At 39.3% G+C, this 26,303-nt stretch overlaps 1 protein-coding gene across 3 annotated transcripts in view, besides 3 other annotated features; it reads left to right on the plus strand.

Moving 5' to 3' along the window:
* ZFAND3 (zinc finger AN1-type containing 3) overlaps positions 1 to 26,303 on the plus strand; it is a 334,898-nt gene that overhangs the window by 49,582 nt on the left and 259,013 nt on the right. The gene's annotated exons all lie outside the window — the stretch shown is intronic.
* Positions 9,141 to 9,210: an enhancer, noted in NCBI's record as "active region_24481". NCBI's record gives its function as "activates an Ori minimal core promoter by ATAC-STARR-seq in GM12878 lymphoblastoid cells {active_cell/tissue: GM12878}" and the evidence as "EXISTENCE:reporter gene assay evidence [ECO:0000049][PMID:35858748]".
* Positions 10,391 to 10,591: a silencer, noted in NCBI's record as "peak5796 fragment used in MPRA reporter construct". NCBI's record gives its function as "represses an SCP1 promoter by STARR-seq MPRAs in K562 erythroleukemia cells {active_cell/tissue: K562}" and the evidence as "EXISTENCE:reporter gene assay evidence [ECO:0000049][PMID:32103011]".
* Positions 11,941 to 12,506: an enhancer, noted in NCBI's record as "OCT4-NANOG hESC enhancer chr6:37849025-37849590 (GRCh37/hg19 assembly coordinates)". NCBI's record gives its function as "activates a minimal SCP1, AML or CMV promoter by ChIP-STARR-seq in primed H9 embryonic stem cells {active_cell/tissue: H9 hESC(primed)}" and the evidence as "EXISTENCE:reporter gene assay evidence [ECO:0000049][PMID:30033119]".

Raw genomic sequence — 26,303 nt, forward strand, 5'->3', positions numbered from 1 at the left:
GCACCACGCCTGGCTAGTTTCTGTATTTTTAGTAGAGATGGGGTTTCACCATGTTGGCCAGGCTGGTCTCGAACTCCTGACCTCAGGTGATCCACGTACCTGGGCCCCCAAAGTGCTGGGATTACAGGCGTCAGCCACCGTGCCTGGCCGTTATTTTGTCTTTCATTCATGATATTGGTTAATCTGTATTTATCAAGTTTGTTAATTTTTTTTTTTTTTTGAGATAGGGTCTTGCTGTCACCCAGGCTTAAGTGCAGTGATGTGGTCATAGCTCACTGTAACCTCCAACTCCTGGGCTCAGGCAATCCTCACACCTCACACTCCTGAGTAGCTGGGACTACAGGCGCACACCATTGTGCCTGGCTATTAAAAAAATTTTTTTTTGTAGAGTTGGGGGTCTCACTTTGTTGCCCAGGCTGGCCTCGAACTCCTGGCCTCTAGTGATTCTCCTGCCTTGCCTCACAAAGTGCTGGTATTATAGATGTGAGCTACTGCACCCAGTCTTGATTTTGTTAATCTTAAAAAAAAAAAAAATTAACTCTTGCCTTTGTTCATTTTCTCTATTGTTTTTGTTTGCCCTGATGTTTGCTTTTATTTTTCTTTCTTTCCTTCTATGTTGGGTTTAATTTGGTCTTTTTCTAGTGTCTTGAGCCAGAATCTTGGGAGATTTTATAACTTTCTTCTTTTCAGATATTGGCATTTAAAGCTATACATTTTTCTCTCAGTACTGCTTTAGTTGAATTCCACAAATTTCGGTACGTTGTGTTTTTATTTTGATTAAATTCAAAGCATTTTCTGATTTCATTTGTGATTTTTTTCTTTGAAGTGTGTTGTTATTTAGAAGTGTGTTGTTAGCTGGGTGTGGTGGCACACGCCTGTAGTCCCAGCTGTTTGTGAGCCCGATGTGGGAGGATTGCTTGAGCCTACAGTGAGCTGTGATTGTGCCATTGTACCCCAGCCTGGGCGACAGAGCGAGACTGTCTCAAAAAAAAAAAAAAAAAAAAAAAAAAAGGGCGGGCACAGTGGTTCATGCCTGTAATCCCAGCACTTTGGGAGGCCGAGGCAGGTGGATCACCTAAGGTCAGAAGTTCGAGACCAGCCTGGCCAACGTGGTGAAACCCCGCCTCTACTAAAAATACAAAAATTAGCCAGGCATGGTGGCACGCGCCAATCCCAGCTACTTGGGAAGCTGAGGCAGGAGAATTGCTTGAACATGGGAGGTGGAGGTTGCAGTGAGCCAAGATAGCACCATTGCACTCCAGCCTTGGCGACAGAGCAAGGCTCTGTCTCAGAAAAAAAAAAAAAAAAAAGAGCACTTAACATGACCTTCCACTGTCTTTTGGCCTTAGTTATTTTTTTAACTAAGAAATTAGTAATTCTTTTGTGAATGAATGAGACAGGGTCTTGTTCTATTGCTCAGGCTAGAGGGCAGTGGTGCGATTATAGCTCACTGCAGCCTCAAACCCCTGGGCTTCAGTGATCTGCTTCAGCCTCACAAATAGCTGGGATTACAGGTGTGCACCACCACTCCTCGCTATAAATCAGTAATTCTTATGATTGTTTTCTTATATGATTTGTCATTTTTCTCTGTTTTAGCAGTTTTGTCTTTTTCGTTGTTGACCATTTGACTATGATGTGCTTAAGTGTTTTTCCTTGTATTTTGTCCTGCTTATGTTTCATTGATCTCCTAGAACCTGTAAATTTCCATCTTGTACTCCGTTTGGGAAAATTTTGGTCATTATTTCTCCAAATATTTTTCTCTGCCCCATTCTCTCTTAGTTCTGATTATAGAATTCCAATTATACCTATTACATGTAGGTTTAGACCTTTGATGTTGTAATACACAGTACTCTTCAGTTTTCTTATTTTTTCCCTCTGTGTTGTTCAGATTGAATAGTATCTATTCTAAGTTTACTGACTCTTCCTGTCATCTTTATTTTGTATCCAGTGAATGTTCTTATTTTGGTTATTGTAATTTTTGGTCCAGAATTTGTGTTCTTTTATGGTTTCTGTTTCTTTGCTGAAATTTCCTATTCATTTATTAAGAGACTATTTTACTCTTTAATCCTTGAGCATAGTTATAGTAGCTGCTTTAAAATTCTTGTCTACAAAGAAAGACTGGGGAACTGTCTCAGACTGGTGGAGACTGAGAATATGTAGCAACTAAATGCAGTGTGGCATCTTGGATTGGATCCTGGGCCAGAATAAAGATATTGGTGGATTGATTGGCAGAATTTACATAAGGTTTATAAATTCCTTGATAGTATTGTATCAACATTAATTTCTTGGTTTCTATAGCCATATTAGGGTTATTTAAGATACTAACATTAGAGAAAACCAAGTGAAGGTAGCTTAAAAAAATCCTTCTCTAATTACACATTCAGGTTATCATAGTGTTGGTCTGCATAGATCACCTTTTCTCTTTGAGTATGGGTCATGTTTTCCTGTTTCTTTAAATGTCTAGTAATTTTGAAATGCATCCTAGACATTGTGGACAATTTATTATAGAAATACTGGTTTCTGTTGTATACCTCCAAATAATATTAATTTTTGTTTTAGCAGGCATTTCACTTGAATGGTCTCAAAATTGAAACCATCTTTCCCACCACCATCAGCAGCTAAATTCTTTATTCAGTTTTTAGTCTTACCTGGGCTGCTGTAGTCTATCCCATGCATGTATATTTCATGGATCAGCTGGAGATTTGGGCCAAGTTTATAGGTAGATTTGAACCTCTCCATTTCTGGCTTTCTCCTTTTCTTGATTTCCCCCTCCACTTTCCACCTGATAGAATCACTCTGAACTCTGTCATCTGGTTCTTCATCTCAGTAAGACAGTAGTTTCTATCTGGATTCTATTACCTAACGTGGCTTACGTAGGCCTTCCCTCAGGCAAAAAGCCATTTAGAAAAACAAAAGGAAACTTTCTCAATGCAATTCCCATTTTCCGGTGCAGACTCACAGTTTCTGCCTGGTTTTGATTGCTGTTCAGCGCCTTCAGGTAGTTACTTTTTATGTTTTGTCCAGAGTTTATGGTTTTTACGTATGGAACAGTGGGGCCAGTAGGAACATATTCAGTTCCACTTCTAGTAATCTTAGGAAGTATCTCCTGGAAGTGGAACTTGTTTTTTGTTAACCTTTTTTTGTTGAAATATATCATACACACCCGCAGTAGGGAAATAGAATATTACCAAAACCTCAGAAACCCCTTTCATTTCTCTTCATGTCCCTTCTCAGTCATTACTCCCACTTGCCTCTCCAGAGTACCACTCTCCTACTCTGGCACCATAGATTAGTTTTGCTTGTTACTGAAATTTACGTAAATGATATCATTCATAGGTTTTGCTTTTTGTTTGGCTTTCATCTTTGTGTTTATGAGGTTATTCTATGTTGCATGTAATTTGTTCATTCTCATTGCTGGGAAGTATTTCATTGTGTGAATTTACTGTGATTAGTTTATCCCTTCTACTGTTGATGGGCATTTGGATTACTTTCAGTCTGGAGCTATTCCACAAAGTACTGCTTAAACATTCTTTTACGTGTCTTTTGGTATACATGTGTATGCATTTCTGCAACCTTAGTACATGCTGCCAAACAGTTGGCTAATGTGGCAGAACTTAATTGTTTCATTGCATTAACAAACATTGAGTTTTTAGCTTTTAGAAAATTGGGGCCAGGTGTGGTGGCTCACGCCTGTAATCCCAGCACTTTGGGAGGCCGAGGTGGGTGGATCACGAGGTCAGGAGATCGAGACCATCTTGGCTAACACGGTGAAACACCTTCTCTACTTAAAAACAAAAAAAACCCCCCAAAAAATTAGCCAGGCGCGGTGGCGGGTGCCTGTAGTACCAGCTACTTGGGAGGCTGAGGCAGGAGAATGGTGTGAACCCGGGAGGCGAAGCTTGCGGTGAGCCGAGATCACGCCACTGCATTCAGCCTGGGTGACAGAGCGAGACTCCGTCTCAAAAAAAAAGAAAGAAAATTGGAACCTAAGGAGTTAATGCAGACACAATTAATCATTCTTTCTGTGTGCTACCCCCTAGGGTTTGGTCAATAAATCGGTATTTTTATAATAGAAGGTAAACACAGCCCTAATTCATACATAATCACTTGTTTGCTTGCTTGCTAGAGCCTGTCGAATTTTATTGGGATCATTTATGCGGTTGTGATTCTTGGATCTATCGTTGAGAGTTGTATGAGGTATTTTATATAGTTTTATCCGTCACATAAGTTCTTGCTGACAGTAGTGGACTTAACAGATTGATGGTCCAGGGATATGTAAATTGTCTGTTGACCTAATTTTTAGAAGAAAAGCAGAATAGTGAAGGTCAGCTGGAAGATGGAAAATGATAACAAATTGATCTTCTTAGGGAGCATGTACAATATAAGGTGTGATGTTTTGTAACACAGTAGTTTTTCTCAGATTGGCACACTTTTCTGGAAAGTGCTATATTTTAGCCTTTGTGGGCCACAAGCTCTCTGTTGCAGCTACTCACCCCTACATTGTGAACACAAAAGCAGTTTGTCATAGGTAATACATAAACGAATAAGGAATAAATGTGACTGTGTCCCAGAAAAACTTTACACTGAAATTCGAATTTCGTATAATTTTCACGTCTCAGAATAACATATTTTTTTTAACCACTTGAAAATGTGGAAACCATTTGTATTCATCTGCCAGGGCTACTGTAACAAAGTGTTGCAAACTAGATGTCTTAAGCAACAGAAATTTATTGTCTCATGATTCTTTCTGAAGGCTGTAAGTCTGAAATCAAGGTTTGTTGGCAGGGTTTGTTCCTCTTCAGGCAGTGAAGGAAGGATGTTTTCCAGGACCTTCTTCTTGGTTTGTAGATGGCCATCTTCTCCCTGTGTGTTCACATCATCTTTCCTCTGTATGTATCTGTCTCTGTGTACTAATTTCCCTTTTTGGCCGGACGTGGTGGCTCACGCCTGTAATCCCAGCACTTTGGGAGGCCAAAGCAGGCGGATCACCTGAGGTCGGGAGTTCGAGAACAGCCTGATCAACACGGAGAAACCTCGCGTCTATTAAAACTACAAAATTAGCTGGGTGTGGTGGCGCATGCCTGTAATCCCAGCTACTCAGGAGGCTGAGGCAGGAGAATCACTTGAACCCGGGAGGTGAGGTTGCAGTGAGCCGAGATCGTGCCATTGCACTCCAGCCTGGGCAACAAGAGTGAAACTCCGTCTCAAAAAAAAAAAAAAAAAAAAAAATTCCCTTTTTTACAAGGACACCAGTCATATTGGATTAGGGCCCACCCTAATGATCTCATTTTAACTTGATTGCCTCTGTAAGACCCCATGTCCAAATAAGGTCACATCTGAAGTATTGCAGGTTAGGTCTCCAACATATCTTGTTTTTGTTGCCAGGGGTTTAGGGTAGGGGAGGGACACAATTCAACCCATAATACCATTCTTTCTTTTTCGTTTTTGTAGAGATGAAGGTCTCGTTTTGTTGCCCAGGCTGGTCTCAAACTCTGGACTCAAGCAGTCCTCTCGCCTCAGCCTCCCAAAGTGCTGGTATTACAGGTGTGAGCTACTGTGCCTGGCTCTGTAACACCATTCTTAGCTGTGGGGCTGAAAAATATGGCTAAAGGGCTAGACTTTATCAGCTGGCTGCACTTTGTCAGCCCTTGGCTTATCTGATTGTAGGAGAGATGATACCTGTAAATCTTACAAAGGCCTGTGTAGATGTATCTTTGAATGAGATGGCTAATCTTGTGTACCTTTCAAATACACCAGAAGAACAATAATCATTTTCATTTTTGAATGTGAAGGACAGCAGTTTATACTGATGTACCTGAGTATAGGATTATGTCTTCTCAGACATTTAGAATTCAGGTTCAAATACCATTTTTGTGTTATTTTTAATTTTAAAAATAATAGACTCACCCTGGCCCCCCAATTGGAGATATTTTTGGGAGTGGATTGGAGTTGCAATGTAATAAAAGAAGGCTTGGAAAGTGATTTGAAATAGTTGTCCAGCATTTTGTAGAGATGCTTTTAAGGATTTTATAAACATTTGATGAAAGTGTTATTTTAGATGTTATTCAAAAAATAAACTTAATTTTAGTACATGATTACCAATAATGCATTAGTTGTTGCTGTTCTGTTAATTCATTTTTGTGAAGATCTTAAAAGTAAATGATTTTTTTTTTTGGCCTGCTCTACTTAAAGAGCATCCCAGAACTCTGAGGTGAACTGTTTAAAATAAAGATAAATCTGTTATCAGCAACTTATGTTCATGAACAAGATTTTCTTCGTTGTCATCTATATATTAGTTCTTGTTTATGTAATAGTTAATTTCTGTATTTTTTTTTTTTTTTAAATAGAGATGAAGTCTCATTGTGTTGTCAGGCTGGTCTTGCTATGTTGCCCAGGCTGGAGTGCAGTGGGGCAATCACAGTTCACTGCAGCCTTGACCTCTTTCGCTCAAGTGATCCTCCCGCCTCAGCCTCACAGGTAGCTGGGACTTCAGGCATGCACAACCATGCCTGGTTAATTTTTGATTTTTTTTTTTTTTTATTGGTAAAGATGAAATCTTACTATGTTGCCCAGGCTGGTCTCAAACTTCTGGGCTCAAGTGATTTTCTCTCCTTGGCCTCCCAAAGTGTGGAGATTACAGGCCCAGCAGTAATTTGCTTTATAATATGTGAATGTTTTATATTTGAACTTAGGAGATATATTTACCCTAAAATCACTTTTTTTTCTATTTTATATTCACGTTCTTTGCAAGGTTTAATTTGAAAGAAAGTTTTACTGTTTGAAAATTTGGAAAATTGCTGATTCAGTATATGTAACAAATTGGAAAAGGTGAAGCAGGAAATAAAGGAAATTGGTTATTTTAAATTGAGTTAATATTCTGATGGGGAGGGCACAGCAGAAATGAAATCAGTTCAAATTTCTGTTCCAAGTTTTGTTTTCATTTCTTTGACAACTTTTAGAATCCCGTAGGCATTGATTTGTTTCTGCCTTCAACTTCAGTAGATACAACTTAATTATTTCCTGTTAAGTAGAGTTACTGGTAGCTCCTGAAAAGGTGAGAGAACTTCTTACCTACGTGTTAGTGGTAAGTGAAGTCATCTCAGTCAGCATTACGGCAAAGCAGGTAAGTCTAAAAAGGCTTTAAAGTAAAGGTACTGCTTGACTGCCAATAAAATATAGAAGAAAATAGAGAAAAGAAAGAGCCCCTACTGTTGTAAAGGCTGTATATTTGGAATATGTTCTCATTGTAGGAGTTCTTGTATATATTCATGTAGTTGAAATGATCAGAGGTAATGAGATAGTTAATTTTATCTCTGGTCAGTCTTTCATATCAATTCGTACTCTAAGAATTTGTAAAGAATGGCTGACATGGTGTGTGTCTTAGTCTGTTTGAAAGGCAGGGGACATTTTGGAGTGTGGTTGAAAGAGCAGTAAGCCTCTTTTGCATATATTGATAGGAAAATAATGTTTATAACCATGACCCTTTTGGCTTGGGACACTCATCTCATGATCTTTTTGCCTGTGAGATTAAAATACACGTACATATACCTTGGCTAATTGAGGTTATTTTCGATGTTTAGTTGTTTTTATGCTATTAAATTCCTTTGCTTTGAAGATATTCTTTGTCCACTGTGGAGACTCTGGAAATGCATCAATTAGTTCTATGCCTGCAACAATCATTTCCTTGAGTGACACACAGATCCTAGGTTTTAATCTTTGTGTATTTATGCAAGTACTTTATGTATATGAAAGGAGGGCTGGAGGGTTTTGTATAGGTCTTTAATTACACACACGTGCATGCGACATTTTTAAAATTTATTTCACCAGTGGGAATCAATAAAGTGGGTGATTTATTGTTTATCCTGATTATGGACAAATCATACCACTTCTTTCTTGGGAGCATTGTTTTGTTGGTATTTCTTCCACACTTGTGAGGGAAAAAAAGTCCTTAGTGCAGCATTGTCATTTCTTATCCTGTACATATTTAATATGAACCTCAGATTATCATGGAAATTGATTGTTTCCTTGGTAGCTGGTTGTGGAGTGTTTTTGTTTTTGTTTTTGTTTTTTAATTTTTCCCTGTAAAGAATTGAAGGGTATCAGAGAAAAAAGCAGGAGTCCAGACGAGATAATGGTGGCTTGGATTACAGTAGTAATAGAGGAGATGGTGAGAAGTAGTCAGTTTGGGGCTATGTTTTTGCAAGCCTTGTGATAGACTGGATGTGAGGTGAAAGAAGAGGAGTCAGAGATAATGCTTAGGTTTCTAGTTTAGCACTGAGCAATCCAGTGGATGATGGTTTCACTTACTGAGGTGGGAGGATCTACTGTGTAAACATAATTTGTTAAGAACTTTACATGCTTGATATTGCTTACTTGTGGCAGGGCTGGGATTCAAACCCAGGGAGGCTCACAACAAAGCTAGTGTTCCAAACACTACAAAGTACTATGTATTAATAGCTTCTTCTGGGAACTACTGATATTGAGAGGAGATGCGGAGAGAGAATGAAGCAAGAGCCAAACCAGACAAAGTCTTGGTCAAGCTAAGAAGTCCGAGTTTTATTTTAAGTGAAGCAGACGCTGGAAGGTTTTAAGCAGGGAATGACTTAATCAGACTTACACAATGCAAAAAGATCAATCTGGCTGCTTTCGTGGAGAACAGATTTTAGAAATGAGGTAGGAACAACAGCTGTATCAGTCCAGGCAGGAGATGATGGTGGCTAGATGGTTGGTGACAGCAGTAGTTGGAGAGAAGTAGGCAGATTGGAAACAAATTTGCAATACAGTGAGAGTTGTGTGGGAACTCGTACAAATGTGGACAGCCTGTGACACTGGAGGGAAAGTATGATCCGATCCAATCCAATCCCTATTTGATTTATGGAGGTTCTCCACACAGTCATTAGCTCAGCTTGAGTCACTCCAGGAGCTCACTGCCATTACTATCCGTGGGACAGTGGGAGAGACAGATTGAGGGCAGATCACTGGAGTGATGAAGGGGGCTTGATGCAGCACTATGTGTGAGCCCTATCCTGAATGAGTTTGGACAGACAGAGGCAAGCCGAGGTCAGGCCTTGAACGCCCTGCTGAGTAGAGGGTTGTGTTGTAGGCTCCCCAGCGCTTGATGTAGCTCTGAGAGGTGAGGCAGGGCTTGATGTAGCTCTGAGAGGTGAGGCAGGGCTTGATGTAGCTCTGAGAGGTGAGGCAGGGCCTAGATCCCTCCCGCTTGGCATAGCCCTGCCCCTGTGACCTGAACACCCCACAGCAGCACCCTGGGGCTGAGCAGCTGGGGAGTCCCACCACTGGCAGCTACAGCCTCCTCCTCTGCTGGCCGAGGCAGTTTGTCCTGCTGGTTGTGTAGTTTCTTGAAACTAGGAGAAGTGAAACAACTTCAAGCTGTTAGATTTGGGAATTAGTTTAGTTTCTGGAAAGGATTTGTCCTAGCCTAGTCTGGTTGATCAGATTTTTTAGTGGCAAGGAAGAGACACTTAGTAATCACAGGGATGGAATGAGAGGTAAACATTTTGTGTCATTTATTATATAGGCACCCAATCTCCGTGTTCCTGGTGAAGTTCTTAAGAAGCTAGGAAAGTGTCTGTTTCTCCAGGACAGGTCAGCTGCTCCAGGTAACCTTTCCCAGCCCTGTGAGTTAATTCTAGAGCTGGATTGGATTGATTTTAGCATTCTTGTGCCAGGGTCAAATATCCTTCTTGGTCACAACTGGAGTCAGGAATCTCAGAGGAAGAGCCCCTTATCCCCAACCCGTATGTAGTTGAGTATTAGCCAAAGTAAATTGATTTTTCTTCATCCAAACCCCTGTGACATGTGTAACTGTTGGTTTTATGTTCCTTACAAAGTATACCTTGGAGAAATCACTGAAGAGTGGGATAGGGTGAGAGAATAGGTTGGGACCACCATGCTCAGAACTATCTTTGTATGTGATGGGATGCTTAATATCACTTCTTTGGTCCAGCAAGAACAGGTTTCTGCTTTACCTCTAATTCCAAATGCAGAAGTTTTTTTTGTTTTTTGTTTTGTTTTTTTTTTGTGGGGGAGCGGGTGGTGGTGGTGCAGGGAGTAGGTAGGGGAAGATTGGTGTTAGAAATGGGGGGAATTGCATGGAACCATCTTTATTATTCTTGATACCCACATGGACTTGCATACTTGGGTTAGTTATTTCTTGTGGCTGTGAAATGGAGTTTTCTCTCTGTGTAACTGACAAATATATAGGTATATCTGTGTACTAGAACCCAATTAAATGAGTTAACTGTAATTAAAGGTACTTAAAAATGTGTGTTTCTTAAACTTTATTTTGCCTGTATTTGGTGAATATTTTAAAAGAGTATTCAAGTAACTGGGATGAATGAGCATGCTTTTTCTCAATCTGGATGATAGTAAATTCATTATTGGTAGAAGATATTATCCTGCCTGTTATAGAACTTTCAGAATGTGAGTTAGGGTATGAAATACTGAATAACACTTGAAACCAGATATATCTGGTACTTAATTCTTTTGAACTGAATACTGCATTATTTTCAGGATAGCATGAAGATGTTGGCTTGGAACTTTTGAAGGGGCTGCGTTATAGACTCTGCATGGAGACAAACCATTAGTACTAACCACCTGGCTGTATTCTAAGGCTTAAAAGCAAAATCTTTATGTGTGATGTTTTGTATATTTGGCTTAAAAAATTCACCAGCTTTTAGAGGTTGTGAGATATGGGTCATTTTTGTTCAGATAAGAGAGGTCAATAAAGCATTTACTAACATGAAATGTTTTTCTTTTCTCCTTTCTCAGTATTAAAAGAAAGGTGAATGGACAAAAAGCCAATAAAGGGCTTAATTTTAAAAATGTAGCAACAAAAACTCACACTCTGGCTGTCATGGTACTTGAAGCTTCATATTTCAAAACTGTATTAACAGCTTTAGAAATAAACTTTACAGTAGCTGCATGGTGTCAACCAGTGCTTTTCTCCTTTGCTTTATCCTATTGTGTCAGCAGGGATGTTGCAGCAATTCTTTTTGATCTAAAAATTACTTTGTTCTGGAGCTGAAAAAGAAAAATGTTCTAATCTCCCACTAAAATTTTACCTGACAGTGAGGTCAGTCAAACAATGGAATAACTTGCTAAGGGAGTTCAGTGAGAATCTTTCACCAGAGATGTCCTGAAGTTGACTAGAATGAGCCAGTTGGAATCTGAAGATCAAGTTGGAAAAGTCCTCCAGGATGAGATACCCCCTCTGAACCAAATTTTTAAAAAGGAGTTAAAAAGTGTGTATTACAAGGTTTGAGAAAACAGTGCCTATTTATTCAGAACTTAGTTTCAGGTCTGTTTTGTACTTTACAAAACATCTTTCATGAAGGATATATTTGATAATGGAAAGTATTTTTTTTTTAAAGCTGTATAGTTCTGAATCACAAATGATTGTGCTATCGTGTATATTCTGAAAAGTTCGTGATTAAATCACCTACTGTTGTGTGCTAGCACCTCATAAAAAATACTCTTCAATGAGATCACATGGACACAGGAAGGGGAATATCACACTCTGGGGACTGTGGTGGGGTCGGGGGAGGGGGGAGGGATAGCATTGGGAGATATACCTAATGATAGATGACACGTTGGTGGGTGCAGCGCACCAGCATGGCACATGTATACATATGTAACTAACCTGCACAATGTGCACATGTACCCTAAAACTTAGAGTATAAAAAAAAAAAAAAATACTCTTCAAGGGAAGGCTGATTATGATAGTCTTTATTTTTATTTATTTATGTTTTTTGTTTTTTTGAGATGGAGTCTTGCTCTATTGCCCAGGCTGGAGTGCAGTGGTGCAATCTATACTTACTGCAGCCTCCACCTCCCGGGTTCAAGAGATTCTCCTGCCTCAGTCTCCCAAGTAGCTGGGACCACAGCTGCACGCCACGATGCCCAGCTAATTTTTTATTTAATCTTTTTGTATTTTTAGTAGAGATGGGGTTTCCGTATGTTGACCAGCCTGGTCTCGAACTCCTGGCCTCCAGTGATCTGCCCACCTTGGCCTCCCAAAGTGTTGGGATTACAGGCGTGAGCCACTGTGCCCAGCCTATGATAGTCTTTAAATTAAAGACCTAGTTGGGTGGCTGGCAAGACTGTCAGTCATTATTAATGCCAGAGATCTGGATTTGATGGTCTGTTCTGTCTTTCTGCTTAGGCCAGCAGGAGGTAGGATTGCTGCTGGAGGGGAAGCTGTTAGCTCTGGGGCAGGCTAAATCTTTAATCTCTCCACAGGTTCCTCTTTCACTAATTAGAAAAGAAAACAGCTGGGCTGCAGGAGCTTTGCTGTTTTCAGATCTCCTTAGCCAAAAAGTACGAGCTATATAGGGTTTTGAACATAACAATAGAGCACTAAAAATACGAATTTTTAGTCTTTGGGACCTTCATAGAGATTTTTGTTCCTTGCTCCTTAGGGTTTGAAAGAAAAGTTCAGTGTTGAGAGCTGGACTTCAGGGATAGGGGTAGGCAAGAGTAGAGTTGAATGCTGTTTGTATTTAGAATTTCAACAATTTTAGTTAAAAAAAAAAACATTCCTTTGGATGCTAGTATATGGTAAGAAGTACAACGAATTCAAAAACATTCCTGTATAATCACATGAAGACTATAGGTCAGTGGTGCAGAGCTCAGCATGTCGTCTGTGTCATGACAATTTTGTTCTTTTCACTTCTTAATAGCCAATTTAATTTTGCAGCAAAATGTGTCCAATGTTGAATTTTCCAGGTTCTCTAAAGTATGTCTCGTGCAAAGATAGCTCTGACATTAGGGTCCTTTTCAGTGGTCCAGTTGGGTGGCCATGTTGCTGGAGTGGGAGGGGAGTGGGATTTAACTTTAGGCCTTGTGTTAGCAAAAGTATTACTCTTTGTTTGTTTGCCATGTAGGCAGTCCAACCTCCCCTGAAATAGAAATGACTAGTAATGATTTGTTTCTTGTCAGTATGAGGTAGACCACACGAAGCCCCTCCCCGTAGGCTCTTCAGATTCTGTTTATTTTGGGGGCAGTAGTCAAATCAGAAGCATGATATAGCCGCCCCCCCAATTCTCTTCCTCCTTCCCTTTGCCCAAGGATAGGATACTTGTTAAGGTTAGGGCTCCCAGGCCTAGGGTCCCTTTGATGCTTGAAAGGATTGCATGGCAAGCTATGTTTTTCTGGATTAGTCCTAGGGTTTAGTCCCTGCTACACACACTGCTGCTATACTTCCCCCTTGGAGAAGGAAATGAATGTAATTCCCATATAATTGGGAAATGCCAACCTCACTGGTCTGTGCCCCTCCCAATCCCCACCACCCCCATTTGTTTGGTTTGGAGTGTTTGTGCCCCCCACCCTTCCACCCTTTTGGATATTAGAGATGTGGGCCATGGCCAGACTAGGTTAGCCCACTACCTGGTCTGGGCTGCATACAAAGATAATGAACAGGGAGTAGCTGGCCACTTCTTTTGGCATTTCTTTACAGAAATCCTCTTTGTTTCTATGTCTGTTCACTGTGGGACTTTGGAATTTCTTTGTGTTTATCCCATAAACATTTTCTCTTGCTCAGGACATTCCAGTGGTTGCTTAATGTTTCTCTAGTACCATCCAGTGTATGGCTATATTTAAAACATGTAGCCTGGGTGCATTGTCTCATGCCTATAATCCTAGCACTTTGAGAGGCCAAGGCAGAAGAATCATTTGAGGCCAGGAGTTCAAGACCAGCCTGGGCAACATAGTGAGACCCCTTCTCTACAAAAAAATTTAAAAACAATTAGCTCGGTATAGAGTTGTGCACCTGTAGTCCTAGCCACTTGGGAGGCTACATTGGGAAGATCCCTTGAGCCCAGGAGTTTGAGGTTGCAGTGAACTATGATCACGCCACTGCTCTACAGCCTGGGTGACAGAATGAGACTCTTTTTGTACAAAAACACAAACAAAACTAAAGCATCTTACAGTCCTAGTTAATAAAGTCAATAAAGTGAGTCACACATAGTACAAGCAGTGTACAAAGCACATCCAGAGAGTAAGTTTAGCATCCTAAGATAGTTTTATCTTACTGTACCAGCAATATTGTCACAGTAAAGAGAATTAACATTGGATGGCCCCCACCCCCTACCCTTCGCTGTTGAACGTATAGAAAGTACCCAGACTACAAATGAGTTTTGTTTGCAGATATTTTAAATAATGAAGACTGTAGAAATCTACCCCATATTTAAATGATGTATACCTTTTCTTTTCTTTCTTTCTTTTTTTTTTTTGAGACGGAGTCTCGCTCTGTTGCCCAGGCTGGAGTGCAGCGGCACAATCTTGGCTCACTGCAACCTCTGCCTCCTGGGTTCAAGCAATTCTCTGCCTCAGCCTCCTGAGTAGCTGGGATTACAGGTGCCCGCCACCATGCCTGGCTAATTTTTGTATTTTTAGTAGAGACAAGGTTTCACCATCTTGGTCAGGCTGGTCTTGAACTCCTGACCTCATGATCCACCTGTCTCGGCCTCCCAAAGTGCTGGGATTACAGGCGTGAGCCGCCGTGCCCGGCTTGATGGATACCTTTTCATTATCTATTTCCCTTTCTCCCGTCCACCTAACTAGTTCATAATGTATGTTCAGGAGATTCGCCAGGCCTGGGAACCTTTAGCCAGAGTTTCTGAAGGTTATAGTCATCCTTGGTGGAGAAAACTTGGATGACCAAGAGCTTTACAAGGGCCCTAGAGCTCCTGGGTAGGGAAAGATGTCTAGAGTTCTGATGTATGTGTAGCTCTTATAATAGAGATTGATTTTTAACTTGATCACATGGAAGTGGGAGATTAGAATGGTTTTGATATTGTTTGAGTCTAATCAGGGCTTTACAAGTGATTGAAAATGAAATATACCTTGATTCAGGAAAGTGAGAATTGAGAATTACGTCAGGTGGCTGGATGCGGTGGCTCACGCCTGTAATCCCAGCACTTTGGGCGGCTGAGGTGGGTGGATCACCTGAGGTCGAGAGTTTGAGACCAGCCTGGCCAACACAGAGAAACCTTATCTTTACTAAAAAATACAAAATTAGCCAGGCGTGGTGGCGCATGCCTGTAATCCCAGCTACTTGGGAGGCTGAGGCAGGAGAACCACTTGAACCTGGGAGGCGGAGATTGCGGTGAGCCAAGATCGCGCCATTGCACTCCAGCCTGGGCAAAAAGAGCGAAACTCTAGCTCAAAAAAAAAAAAAAAAAAAAAAAAAGAATTACATCAGGTAAGTTTGCATGTCTTTTGAGAGATTGTTAGGCTGTAATTCCAGTGTGGCTTCAAGCTCCAGACCAAAATACCAATGAAATACTCTAGACCAAAAGGCCAAATGAAAATCATTTGTCATTTATCTGCTACTCTAAATATCAAGTGGCAGGGCAAGATTACCAACAAGTACATTAGATTGTAGGGTCATTCCAGGTATGCAGTGATGTCACTCAGAACGCTTTTCTGAGAGATGTGAATGAAGAAGAAAAATTATCAGTGGATTCCTCAAGTTGCTGTTGCATAGAGAACATTTATCATACTTCAGTCACTCTAGCCCTTGCCAGATAGGACTAGTTTCCAAATCCACATGTGAATTTTGGGTTGGAATTTTGAATTCATCTATATTTTCCCTCCACCTTCAAATTCCATTTCTGATGGAAATGAGATGAGTAAATCTAACAAGGCTCTTGTAACAGACATCCACATGATTGTTTTCAGAAATCTAGTTTTCGAGCCTCTTTCTTCCAACAGTACCATCATTGCTCAGAATGTCTTGGGGGCCTCTTGAATCTGTACTCAGGTACTGAAGAGCATCTCTGGTGGCCAATCATCTTTTGGAGCTTGTATTTGTCTTTGGGTGGGAGAAATGATTAACATGTTTTTTAGAGACAAGATTGGGAAAAAAGGGGTGGGTAATTGTCAAGTTGAAGGATACTAAAGGTCTCTATTGAGGTGACTATAAAGAGCAATGAAAAGAATATTTCCAGAGATTTGGAGTCACAAGACTTGTGTGACCTTGGTTTCCTCATCCCTAGGAATACATTTATATGGTTTATAAATGAAGATCTGGGCTAGACGCGGTGGCTCACGTCTGTAATCCCAGCACTCTGGGGGGCTGTGGAGGGCAGATTAACTGAGGTCAGGAGTTAGAGACCAGCCTGGCCAACATGGTGAAACCCCGTTTCTTCTAAAAATACAAAAATTAGCCAGGTGTGGTGGCATACGCCTGTAATCCCAGCTACTTGAGAGACTGAGGCAGGAGAATTGCTTGAGCCTGGGAGGCGGAGGTTGCAGTGAGCTGAGATCGTGCCACTGCACTCTAGCCTGGCTGACAGAGCAAGACTCTGTCTCAAAATAAATAAATAAAAATAGATGTAGAGCTGAAGACAGTTCTGAAGAATTTCAACCTTATTTGAGTAATGGTGTTGATGTCCAAAATTATTTCCTTGAGATTACTCCTTTAAAAGACAGCACTTAATTGGGCATAGAATTTGTTTGCTTGGGGAGAGGGGCAGAAAAAGTCAGTATACTTTGCCAACTCCTAGGCTCAAGTGATCCTCCTGCCTCAGCCTCCCAAAGTGCTGGGATTACACGTGTGAGCCCAGCCAGAAGTCAGTATACTTCTGAGCGGAAGCAACTGAACAACTATTTTAAGTTCGAACAGGCCAGGTGCGGTGGCTTATGCCAGTAATCCCAGCACTTTGGGAAGCTGAGGTGGGTGGATCACTTGAGGTCAGGAGTTCGAGACCAGCCTGGCCAAAATGGTGAAACCCCATCTCTATTAAAAATACAAAAACCAGCCGGGCGTGGAGGCAGGTGCCTGTAGTCCCAGCTATTCAGGAGGCTGTGGCAGGAGAATTGCTTGAACCCAGGAGGTGGAGGTTGCAGTGAGCTGAGATTGCGCCACTGCACTCCAGCCTAGGCTACAGAGCGAGACTCTGTCTCAAAAAAAAAAAAAAAAAAAAAAAAAAAAAAAAAAAAAAAAAAAAGTTCAAAGAATATGCTGTTACTCAACCTTGATTACTACAACCAACCTTAATGACAAAGAAACCAATGGTAGGTTTAAATTCAGTAATGTGATCTTAGGTAAATCACTTGTGCATCTCTGGGCCTCAGTTTTCTGTCTGTACAATTAGGAATTTAGATTTGATTTGTTAGAACACAAGCCTTGTTGGTTTGAAAGGCTGAATCCTAAAATAGTACAAGTTGTTTGGGTCAGAAGTAGTGGTTTCTAATCACAGGAGATTTTCTGCAGTCATATCATGGAAAGGACCCTTGATTCCACATTGGTCTCTTCAGCACTGTTGCTCAGTAAAGCTATTAAGAAGGTGGTACTGAGGTACATGTGCATGAGTATCCATGCATATGCTACAAGTGAGAATTCCATGTTTTGGATTTTATAATTAAGAAGCTATTAGTTGTCTGGACGTGGTGGTTCACGCCTGTAATCCTGATACTTTGGGAGGCCAAGGTGGGCGCATCACTTGAGGCCAGGGGTTCAAGACCAGGTTGGCCAACATGGCAAAACCCAGTCTCTACTAAAAAAACAAAAAACCCCAAAATTAGCCAGGTGTGGTGGCACATGCCTGTAATTCCAGCTACTCAGGAGGCTTAGGCACATGAATTGCTTGACCTTGGGAGGCAGAGGCTGCAGTGAGCTGACATCACATACACTTCACCCCAGCCTGGGTGACAGAGTGAGACCCTGTCTCAAAAAAAGAACCAAAAACTGTTAGTTGTATATCATTGTATATCATACTCCTATTCCTTAATCTGGTAATGTATTATCAATCTGAAAATTATCAAGCATAAAGAATGTTTTAATGAAGTAAGAAGTGTTGTGATATAATGAATAAAAGCCCGTTTGGCTTTCCTTTTAAATGTCATTCTAAGTATGAATTTTGCTCTTGGATTTGAAAGCAGTGAAATTACAGAGAAATGGAAGTAATTCTCTTGTAAAAACACATCAGAGTTACTTCTCAGTTTAAAAGAAATGCATTTATTGTTCTTGGCATATGTAAGAATTTGTATTAAATATGTAATAATCTTGACTTTCTTTTTAAAAATCAAAATCATGAGTACTTTGTACCAACTAAAGCATTTGTTTTATATCAAAATTATTAAAAGAAATATATTTTAAACAAGTTAGGTAACCTTAATGTATATTATGAGGAAAGTCATAATCAAATCAGAACTTACTATGTTGGAAATTAACTTGTGATAAAAAGAAAAAAATCCACCCTAAATTGTATTCCCTGATGGGAAGAATCTTATCTAGGCTAAGGCTGATAAAAGTATGAAATTGTATTTAAGTTTTGCTTCTATTTAGATTGGGGAACTTTGGTTTGGTGCTAGATGCAACTGTCGTAAATATACCATGTATGCATCTTCTCTGTTAAATGATTATTTTATGTAGTGTTAGGCATTTAGCCAACAAGAGTTAATCTAATTAAGCTGTGAAGATGTTTGTTAACTACCATATATGTAATTTCTGGCCAAGTTCTCTTAGCCATTGATTGTAGAAGGAGGAATATGGTTTATTCTTTGAGATATTAATGTATAGCCTTTTGGAAAACAAGTGGCCTTGGCAAACACATTTACAAAGTCATGCTATCTCAAGTGCAGTTGGGCTTTTCATTGTGTTGAGATTTTTGACTTGTATGTTCTCATCTATCCGTCATTCTTGACTATACTAAGAAGGCATTCATAGACTCTTCTTCCTGAGCATTTTCCTAATTTACTAAGTAGAAAAAACAAAACAAAACTGTAAGGTGGAACTGGAAGTTAAGGATTTTTTTTCTTAATTGTGTTACATCTTTCTGGTAAGTACCTACGTCTACAGCTATAAATTTTTTTATGTGTATGTTTCAGCTTCCATATATTAGAGTATGGTTAAAATTTTTGCAGGTTTGATTAGAAAAATAAATTTTAATGTATGAGTAAAAAGTTTCTCATTGTGCATCGTTTGAATGTCATTAAAACCAGACTTGCAAGTTTGAATGTCACATAGCTCAGTCTCTGATACTGTAATAGATCAGCTTGACTTAGCTCTGAAGTAGTTTAATGAAGTCAGATAATTTTCTAAAGAGAATTAACATCTGAAATGTAGTTGCATAATTATGGCATTATCAATAGGAATACATAATGGTTCAATCATTTATGCTTTATTCTTTTAGAGCTTAATTTTTTCACTTAATTTGGATTGTATGTGCAATCCAAATTATGTGAAATTATATATGCATTGGCTTGTATATCCCTTTTCTTTTTTTCCACGGTGCTCTGGAATCCTTGGAAATATGATTAGACAGGAGACCGAAATCCCATTTTCCAGATCACATTAGTTTATATTTTTGTTTAATTTCCCTGGATATGTTTTACTATTTGCGGAAAGGTTACCCTTAAAATGGGTGAGGATATAAGAAGACTTGTATAGATCTCTTTCTCTTTGATGTTGCTGAGACCTTGGACTTTTTGGCTGCAAGAGACTTAATACCCAACTGAAAGTGGCCTAAAAAATGCTATTTCTACTATATGGTAATTGACCTTTTTAAACAAAATTCAATTAAGTGCAAACTTATATTTTGTAAATACAATAAAAATGCTGCAGCAGTATAAAATTACTATGAAGTTTCTAAATGTTTGCTCTCTGTTCCTGTATTTATCCCACTGTGGATTGGAAGCAAACCTTTTTTGCAGACTAGCAGTAGCACATGGACCATCTTTTGAGTAACACAAGCATAAACTACACAATTATTATTTCACTTAACAAGAAGTCTGGATTTGGTGGTTCCAGGTTGGGTTCAGCAGCTCTGCAATTTGCTTGTCTTTCTCCATTACGTAGTTAAAAAATGACTACAGCACCTCTGAGCATGCCCTCCTCAAATGAGGACATCCAAAGCTAGAGGAAGACGGAGGAAAAAAAGGAAGCTTTCCTTCGTCTCTATTTTCTATATTAATGGGGAATAAAACTTTCCCCAGTGATTCATCTGCCACTTTGCCAACTTCCGACTCCCAGAAAACTTCCCTTTACATGTTATTTGCCAGATCTGGGTCACATAGCCACATCATCAATTGTGTGCCAAAAGGAATAATGGATTGCTATACTGGCTTAGACCAATTTTGATTTCTCCCCTGGCACTGTGTCTAGGGCCACCAGAAGTAAATGGGGATTTTATTAGTGAGAAGGATGGAGTAATAGCTAGGTATGTTACCAAGTATTAACTGCCACACTGACAAGAGAGGTCAGAGTGTCTTAGACATTGAATTTAATAACTTGTTTCTTTGTGTTATAGTTAAGAAAGGCATACAAAGTTGATAAGAAAATGGTAAATGCATTAGCCTGTGAGACCCAGTGTGCTTGATACTGAACTATGACTCCTCTTGGTGAGTCCTGGAATGTGCCATGGGGCATTGCTGTACTTGGCTGCTAGCTGGAATATCTGATTTGAACCATAGTTTAATAACTGGCCAGGTAGTTTGAAACAATAGAACATTATTATTGTTATTGATAGAATCTTTATTGTGTAATGTATATTATTAGGACTTTCAAATGTGTTTCATTTTTAGAAGCTACATAATACATATTTTAAGCAGCGATTTATTTCTGATTATTTTTGCAGTATGTTAGAAAAGTAAAATAATTTGACATGTTAAGACGTGTTCCATCCATCTTCAGGGTACTTCTCATGACATTTCATTTGAGCAACTAGGCTTTGTATTTTGTTACTGCTTGCATTTAGCACTCAATTCTTACTTTTAGATAATAAGAAAAAACAGGTATTTTAAAAAAGGACATGTAGCTGCTAATAATAGCATGAGTCCTATGGTTCCTTCTCTGTTCATATCCTAGCTGACAACACATACAAGCATTGCTTTGCTGGAATATTCTGAAATTAACAATTTTGAATAAGTTTATACATGTATGTTTATAAATCCTTTCCCAGTTAACATTTTTTAATTTTGTGTTTTTAAGTAAATAGCACTTCAGTTTGAGTCCCTATAGGTTGACTATTATCAAATTTGAGATGCTTACATGAGTGATCCCCGATTGCTGATATTTGGACATTTGGGTCTCAATAGAGAGATTGCAGGTTGAATGGAAAGACCATGAACCTGAGAGCCAGAAGCCCTCAGCTCTCTTGTTCTGACACTGTTACTATCTGAATGGCTGCGAAGAAGCCCTTTATTTCTTTGAGATGTGGTTGCCTTTTCTGTAACATGTGATCTGTATTGTTCTACCTCATTGGGTTGTGTAGATAGAGTTAATACTCTAAACAATTTCACAAATATATAGTGGATATTATTATTAATAGTAAGTTTTATGGAGTAAACATATTAAAAGGTACTCAAAGTGTCGGAAGTATGGCCAGACTAACACTATCACATTAGTTATAATTGTTGCTAATTCACAAAACCAGATTGCTTTATCAGTTTATTTCAAGATAAGCACACAGTTCTGGTATTGTAGAGTTCTTGATAATCTGAGATTTGAATATCAACATATAGAACAGCAGTAGTTATTCTAAATTCAATTTTTATTTTGAAACAATTTAAACTATCTTGACAATTCATCCTAGTTTTCAGTATGTTAAAAGTGACTCTAGCCAAATGGCAGAGCAGGCAGCTCCAAACACACTAATCTCTTTACAGAAACATCGGAAGATGAGCAGAAACTGTCAGAAACAACTTTATCGAAACTCTCAAAATAGTCAAAGCGTTATAGTAACTAAATGTTTTCATCACCACACACACACAACAACCCTGTATGTTTTAGCTATCACTTCTCTATCCCCCAAACCCGGAGTCCTCATATCCACTTGCTGTCTAAAATTTCCTTCTTTGGGACATTTCATATAAATGGAATCATACAATACGTGGTCTTTTGTGACTGGCTTCTTTAACTTAGTATAATGTTTTCTAAGTTCATCTGTGTTGTAGCCTGCATCATATCAGTGCTGCTCTCCCTTTGATGACTGAGCATAATTCCATTATATGGTTGTTACCATTTTTTGTTTAGTCATTCATTAGTTGATGGGCATTTTGGTTGTTTCAACGTAGAGCACCAAAATACATGAAGCAAAACTGACAGAAATGGATAATTTGACAAATAGTTGGAGATTTCAGTCCCCCCCCCCGCCTTTAAAATACAAAAATTAGCCGGGTGTGGCAGTGCATGCCATGCCTGTAATCCTAGCTACTTGGGAGGCTGAGGCAGGAGAATCACTTGAACCTGGGAGATGGAGGTTGCAGTGAGCCGAGATCACACCACTGCTGCACTCCAGCCTGGGCTAAATAAATAAATAATAAATAAATAAATAAATCATAGAACAACTAGACAGAAGATAAACAAGGAAATAGAAGACTTGCATAACACTGTTTAAGCAGCTAGAGCTAATACATTTATAGCACATTTCACTTAACAACAAAGTATACATTATTCTTTTTTGTTGTTGTTGAGACTGAGTCTCGCTCTGTCGCTTAGGCTGGAGTGCAGTGGTGGATCTCGGCTCACTGCAACCTCTGGCCTCCCAGATTCAAGCGATTCTCCTATCTCAGCCTCCCGAGTAGTTGGGATTACAGGTGCATGCTGCCATACCCTGCTAATTTTTTGTATTTTAGTAGAGATGGGGTTTCACTGTGTTGCCCAGGTTAGTCTCGAACCCCTGAACTCAGGCAATCCACTCGCCTCGCCCTCCCAAAGTGCTGAGATTACAGGCGTGAGCCATAGTGCCCGGCCAAAGTATACATTATTCTTAAGGGCACATGGGACAGTCTCCAGTATAGACAACGTAGTAGGCCATAACATAAACCTCAATAAATTTAAAAGGATGGAAATAATACAAATCATTTTCTCTGACCATATGGGATGAAATTAGAAATCAATAGCAGAAAGAAATTTGGAAACTCTAATACGTGGAAATTACAGCATACTCTTAAACAATTAGCTGGTCAAAGAAATCAGAAAATACTTTCAGATGAATTCAAATGAAGACATAGCATGTGAAAATGTATAGGATGAGCAGGGTGTGGTAGCACGTGCCTGTAGTCCCAGCTACTTGGGAAACTGAGGTGGAAGGATCCCTTGAGCCCAGGAATTTGAGGCCAGCCTGGGGAAGCAACATAGTGAGATGCTCTTAAACATTTTTTAAAAAATGTATTGGATGGAGCTTAAGTAGTGCTTACAGAGAAATTTACAGCTGTCAATGCCTATGTTAAGAGGGAAGAAAGATCTCAAATCAATACCCTGTCCTTCTACCTTCACTAGAAAAAGAAGAGCAAGTGAAATCTGAAGCAAACAGAAAGAAGAACAAAAATAAAGATTAGAGCAGAAATTAATAGAGAATAGAAAAATAACAGTAAATCAATGAAATCAAAAGCTGGTTCTTAGGAAAGAGCAACAAAATTGACAAACATTTATATAGATTGAACAAGATACAAAGCGAGACTCAATTAGCAGAATTAAAAATGAAAGAGGAGACACTACTGTTGACCTTACAGAAATACAAAGGATTATAAAAGAATACTGTGAACAAATTGTACACCAGCAGATTATATAACTTAGAGGAAATGCATCAGTTCTTAGACTCTGAACTTCTGAAACAGACTCAGAAAGTAGAAGAAAATTAGAATAGGCCTGTAACAAGTGCAGAGATTGATTCAGTAATTAAAAAGCTACCTCTTAAGAAAAACTTAGCTCTAGATGGAATTCTGAGGGATTCTACCAAACATTTAAAGAATTAATACCAGTTCTACACACACACACACGCATGCACACACACACGTTTAGGAGGAAGCACTTCCCAACTCATGAGGCCATTAATACCCAAATACCAAGACCAAAAGTAAAGTATCATAATCACATTCCAATATCTCTTATGAATATGTATGCCAAAATCCTTAACAAAATGCTAGTAAACCAAATCAGAGATGCATAAAAAGAATTGTATCCCATGACTAAGTGAGATAATCTCAGGAGTATAAGGTTGGTTTAACATCTGAAAATCAATTAATGTAATACATCAACAGAATGAAAAACAAATTATATCATCATCTCAATAGAGGCAGAAAAAGCATTTTATGAAACAACACTTTTGATAAAAACATTCAACAAACTATGAATCGAGTGGAACTTCCTCAATCTGATAAAAGGCTTCTAGCTATTACTTTTTAACTGTGTTATTTTAGTGGTTACTTTTATCTTTAACGTATGACAGTCTGCCTTCAAGTGATACTATACAATTTCAGGATCTTCTGTTTTTGTTTGTTTGTTTGTTTTTTTGAAGGTGGAGTCTTGCTCTGTTGCCCAGGCTGGAGTGCAGTGGCACAATCTCGGCTCACTGCAACCTCTGCCTCCCAGGTGCTAGCGATTCTCCTGCCTCAGCCTCCTGAGTAGCTGGGATTACAGGCGCATGCCACAATGCCCAGCTGATTTTTGTATTTTTAGTAGAGACGTGGTTTTACCATGTTGGCCAGGCTGGTCTCGAACTCCTGAACTCAGGTGATCCACCTGCCTTGGCTTCCCAAAGTGCTGGGATTACAGGGGTGAGCCACCGCGCCCGGCCCAGGACCTTTGTTTCTATCTCTTCAACTTTGTGTTATTGTTGTCATGCACTTTCACTTCTCCATATGTTATAAAACCCGTACTACACTGTTACTAATTTTGCTTTACACATTTGTCTTAGGCTGGGTGCCGTGGCTGACACCTGTAATCCCAGCACTTTGGGAGGCCGAGGTGAGTGGATCCCTTGAGTCCAGGAGTTCAAGAGCAGCCTGGGCAACATGGTGAAACCTCATTTCTACAAAAATACAGAAAATTAGCTGGGCGTGGTGGCTGGTGCCTGTAGTTCCAGCTACTCAGGAGGCTGAAGTGGGAGGACTGCTTGAGCCCAGGAGGTGGAGGTTGCAGTGAGCTGAGATAGTACCACTGCATTCCAGCCTGGGCAACAGACTGTGCCTCAGAAAAATAAAGCAGTTGTCTTTTAAGGAGATACGAATAATTAGAAAAGTCTGTTTACTTGTGCTCATTTCTTTGTGTAGGTTCATATTTTCATTTGGTATAATTCTCCTGCTCCTTGAAATCCTTCCTTTCCTTTCCCTTTTTTTTTTTAAGTCTGTTGCCCAGGTTGGAGTGCAGCCGTGTGATCATAGCTTATTGTAAACCTGGAACTCCTGGTCTCCAGTGATCTTCCCACCTCAACCTCCAGAGTAGCTAGGACTTAACCGGTGTGTGCCTTACTAATTTTTTTATGTTTAAATTTTTTGTAGAGACAGAATCTCTCTATGTTGTCCAGGCTGGTCTCAAACTCCTGGCCTTAAGCAGTCCTCCTGGCTTAGCCTCCCAAAATGCTGGGATTATAGGCAGGAGCCACCACACCCGGCTTTAATATTTCTTGTGGTGCAGATCTGCTCGTGAGGAATTCCTTTAGCTTTTATGTTTGGAAATGTCTTTGTTTCTTCGTTTTTGAAATATATTTTTGCTGAGTATAGAATTCTAAGTTGATAGATTTTTCTGTCAGTATCCTAAAGATGTTGCTCTACTGTCTTTTAGCATGCAACATCTCTAATGAGAAATCTGTCACTGTCCTTATCTTCTTTCGTTTATATATAATGTGATTTTCCTGGCTGCTTTTAATAATTTGTCTTTATCACTGGTTTTAATTAAGCAGCTTTATTATGTGATGTGCGTTGGTGTAGTTTTCTTTGTATTTTTTGTGTTTAGTTTTGTAGAGATTTTTGGATCAAAGGGCTTATTATGTTTCCAATCAGTTTTTAAACATTTCTGCCATTATTTCTTCAAAAAATTTTTTGCCTCCCTTCTACCTCTTCATAGACTTCAGTTATACATATATTAAGCCTTTTAAAGTTTCCTCACTCATAGATCCTTTTTATTTTCTTCATTTTTTACTGTTTTGTTTTATTGTGACTATTTACTGCTAGGTCTTCAGGTTCCTTTTTTCTTCATTGCTTAATCTGCTCTTAATTTCATCCAGTGTTTTTATCATCTCAATATAGTTTACATCTGTAAGAGTTCTATTACGTTCTTTTTCTCTTTTTTTCTTTGAGACGGAGTTTCGCTCTTGTTGCCCAGGCTGGAGTGCAGTGACGTGATCTCCGCTCACTGCAACTTCGGCCTTCTGGGTTCAAGTGATTCTCCTGCCTCAGAGGTTCTTTTTTTTTTTTTTTTTTTTTTTATCTTATATGTCTAGACTTAACTTTTTGAATTTTCTTTTTTTTTTTTGATTTAGTACAAAAAACATGAACATACGGAATACAGTTATATTTATTGGTTTAATGTCTTTGGTTACTATTCTATCATCTGT

The sequence above is a fragment of the Homo sapiens genome, chromosome 6 (assembly GCF_000001405.40).
Source record: "Homo sapiens chromosome 6, GRCh38.p14 Primary Assembly".
In the NCBI taxonomy this organism is placed as follows: Eukaryota; Metazoa; Chordata; class Mammalia; order Primates; family Hominidae; genus Homo; species Homo sapiens.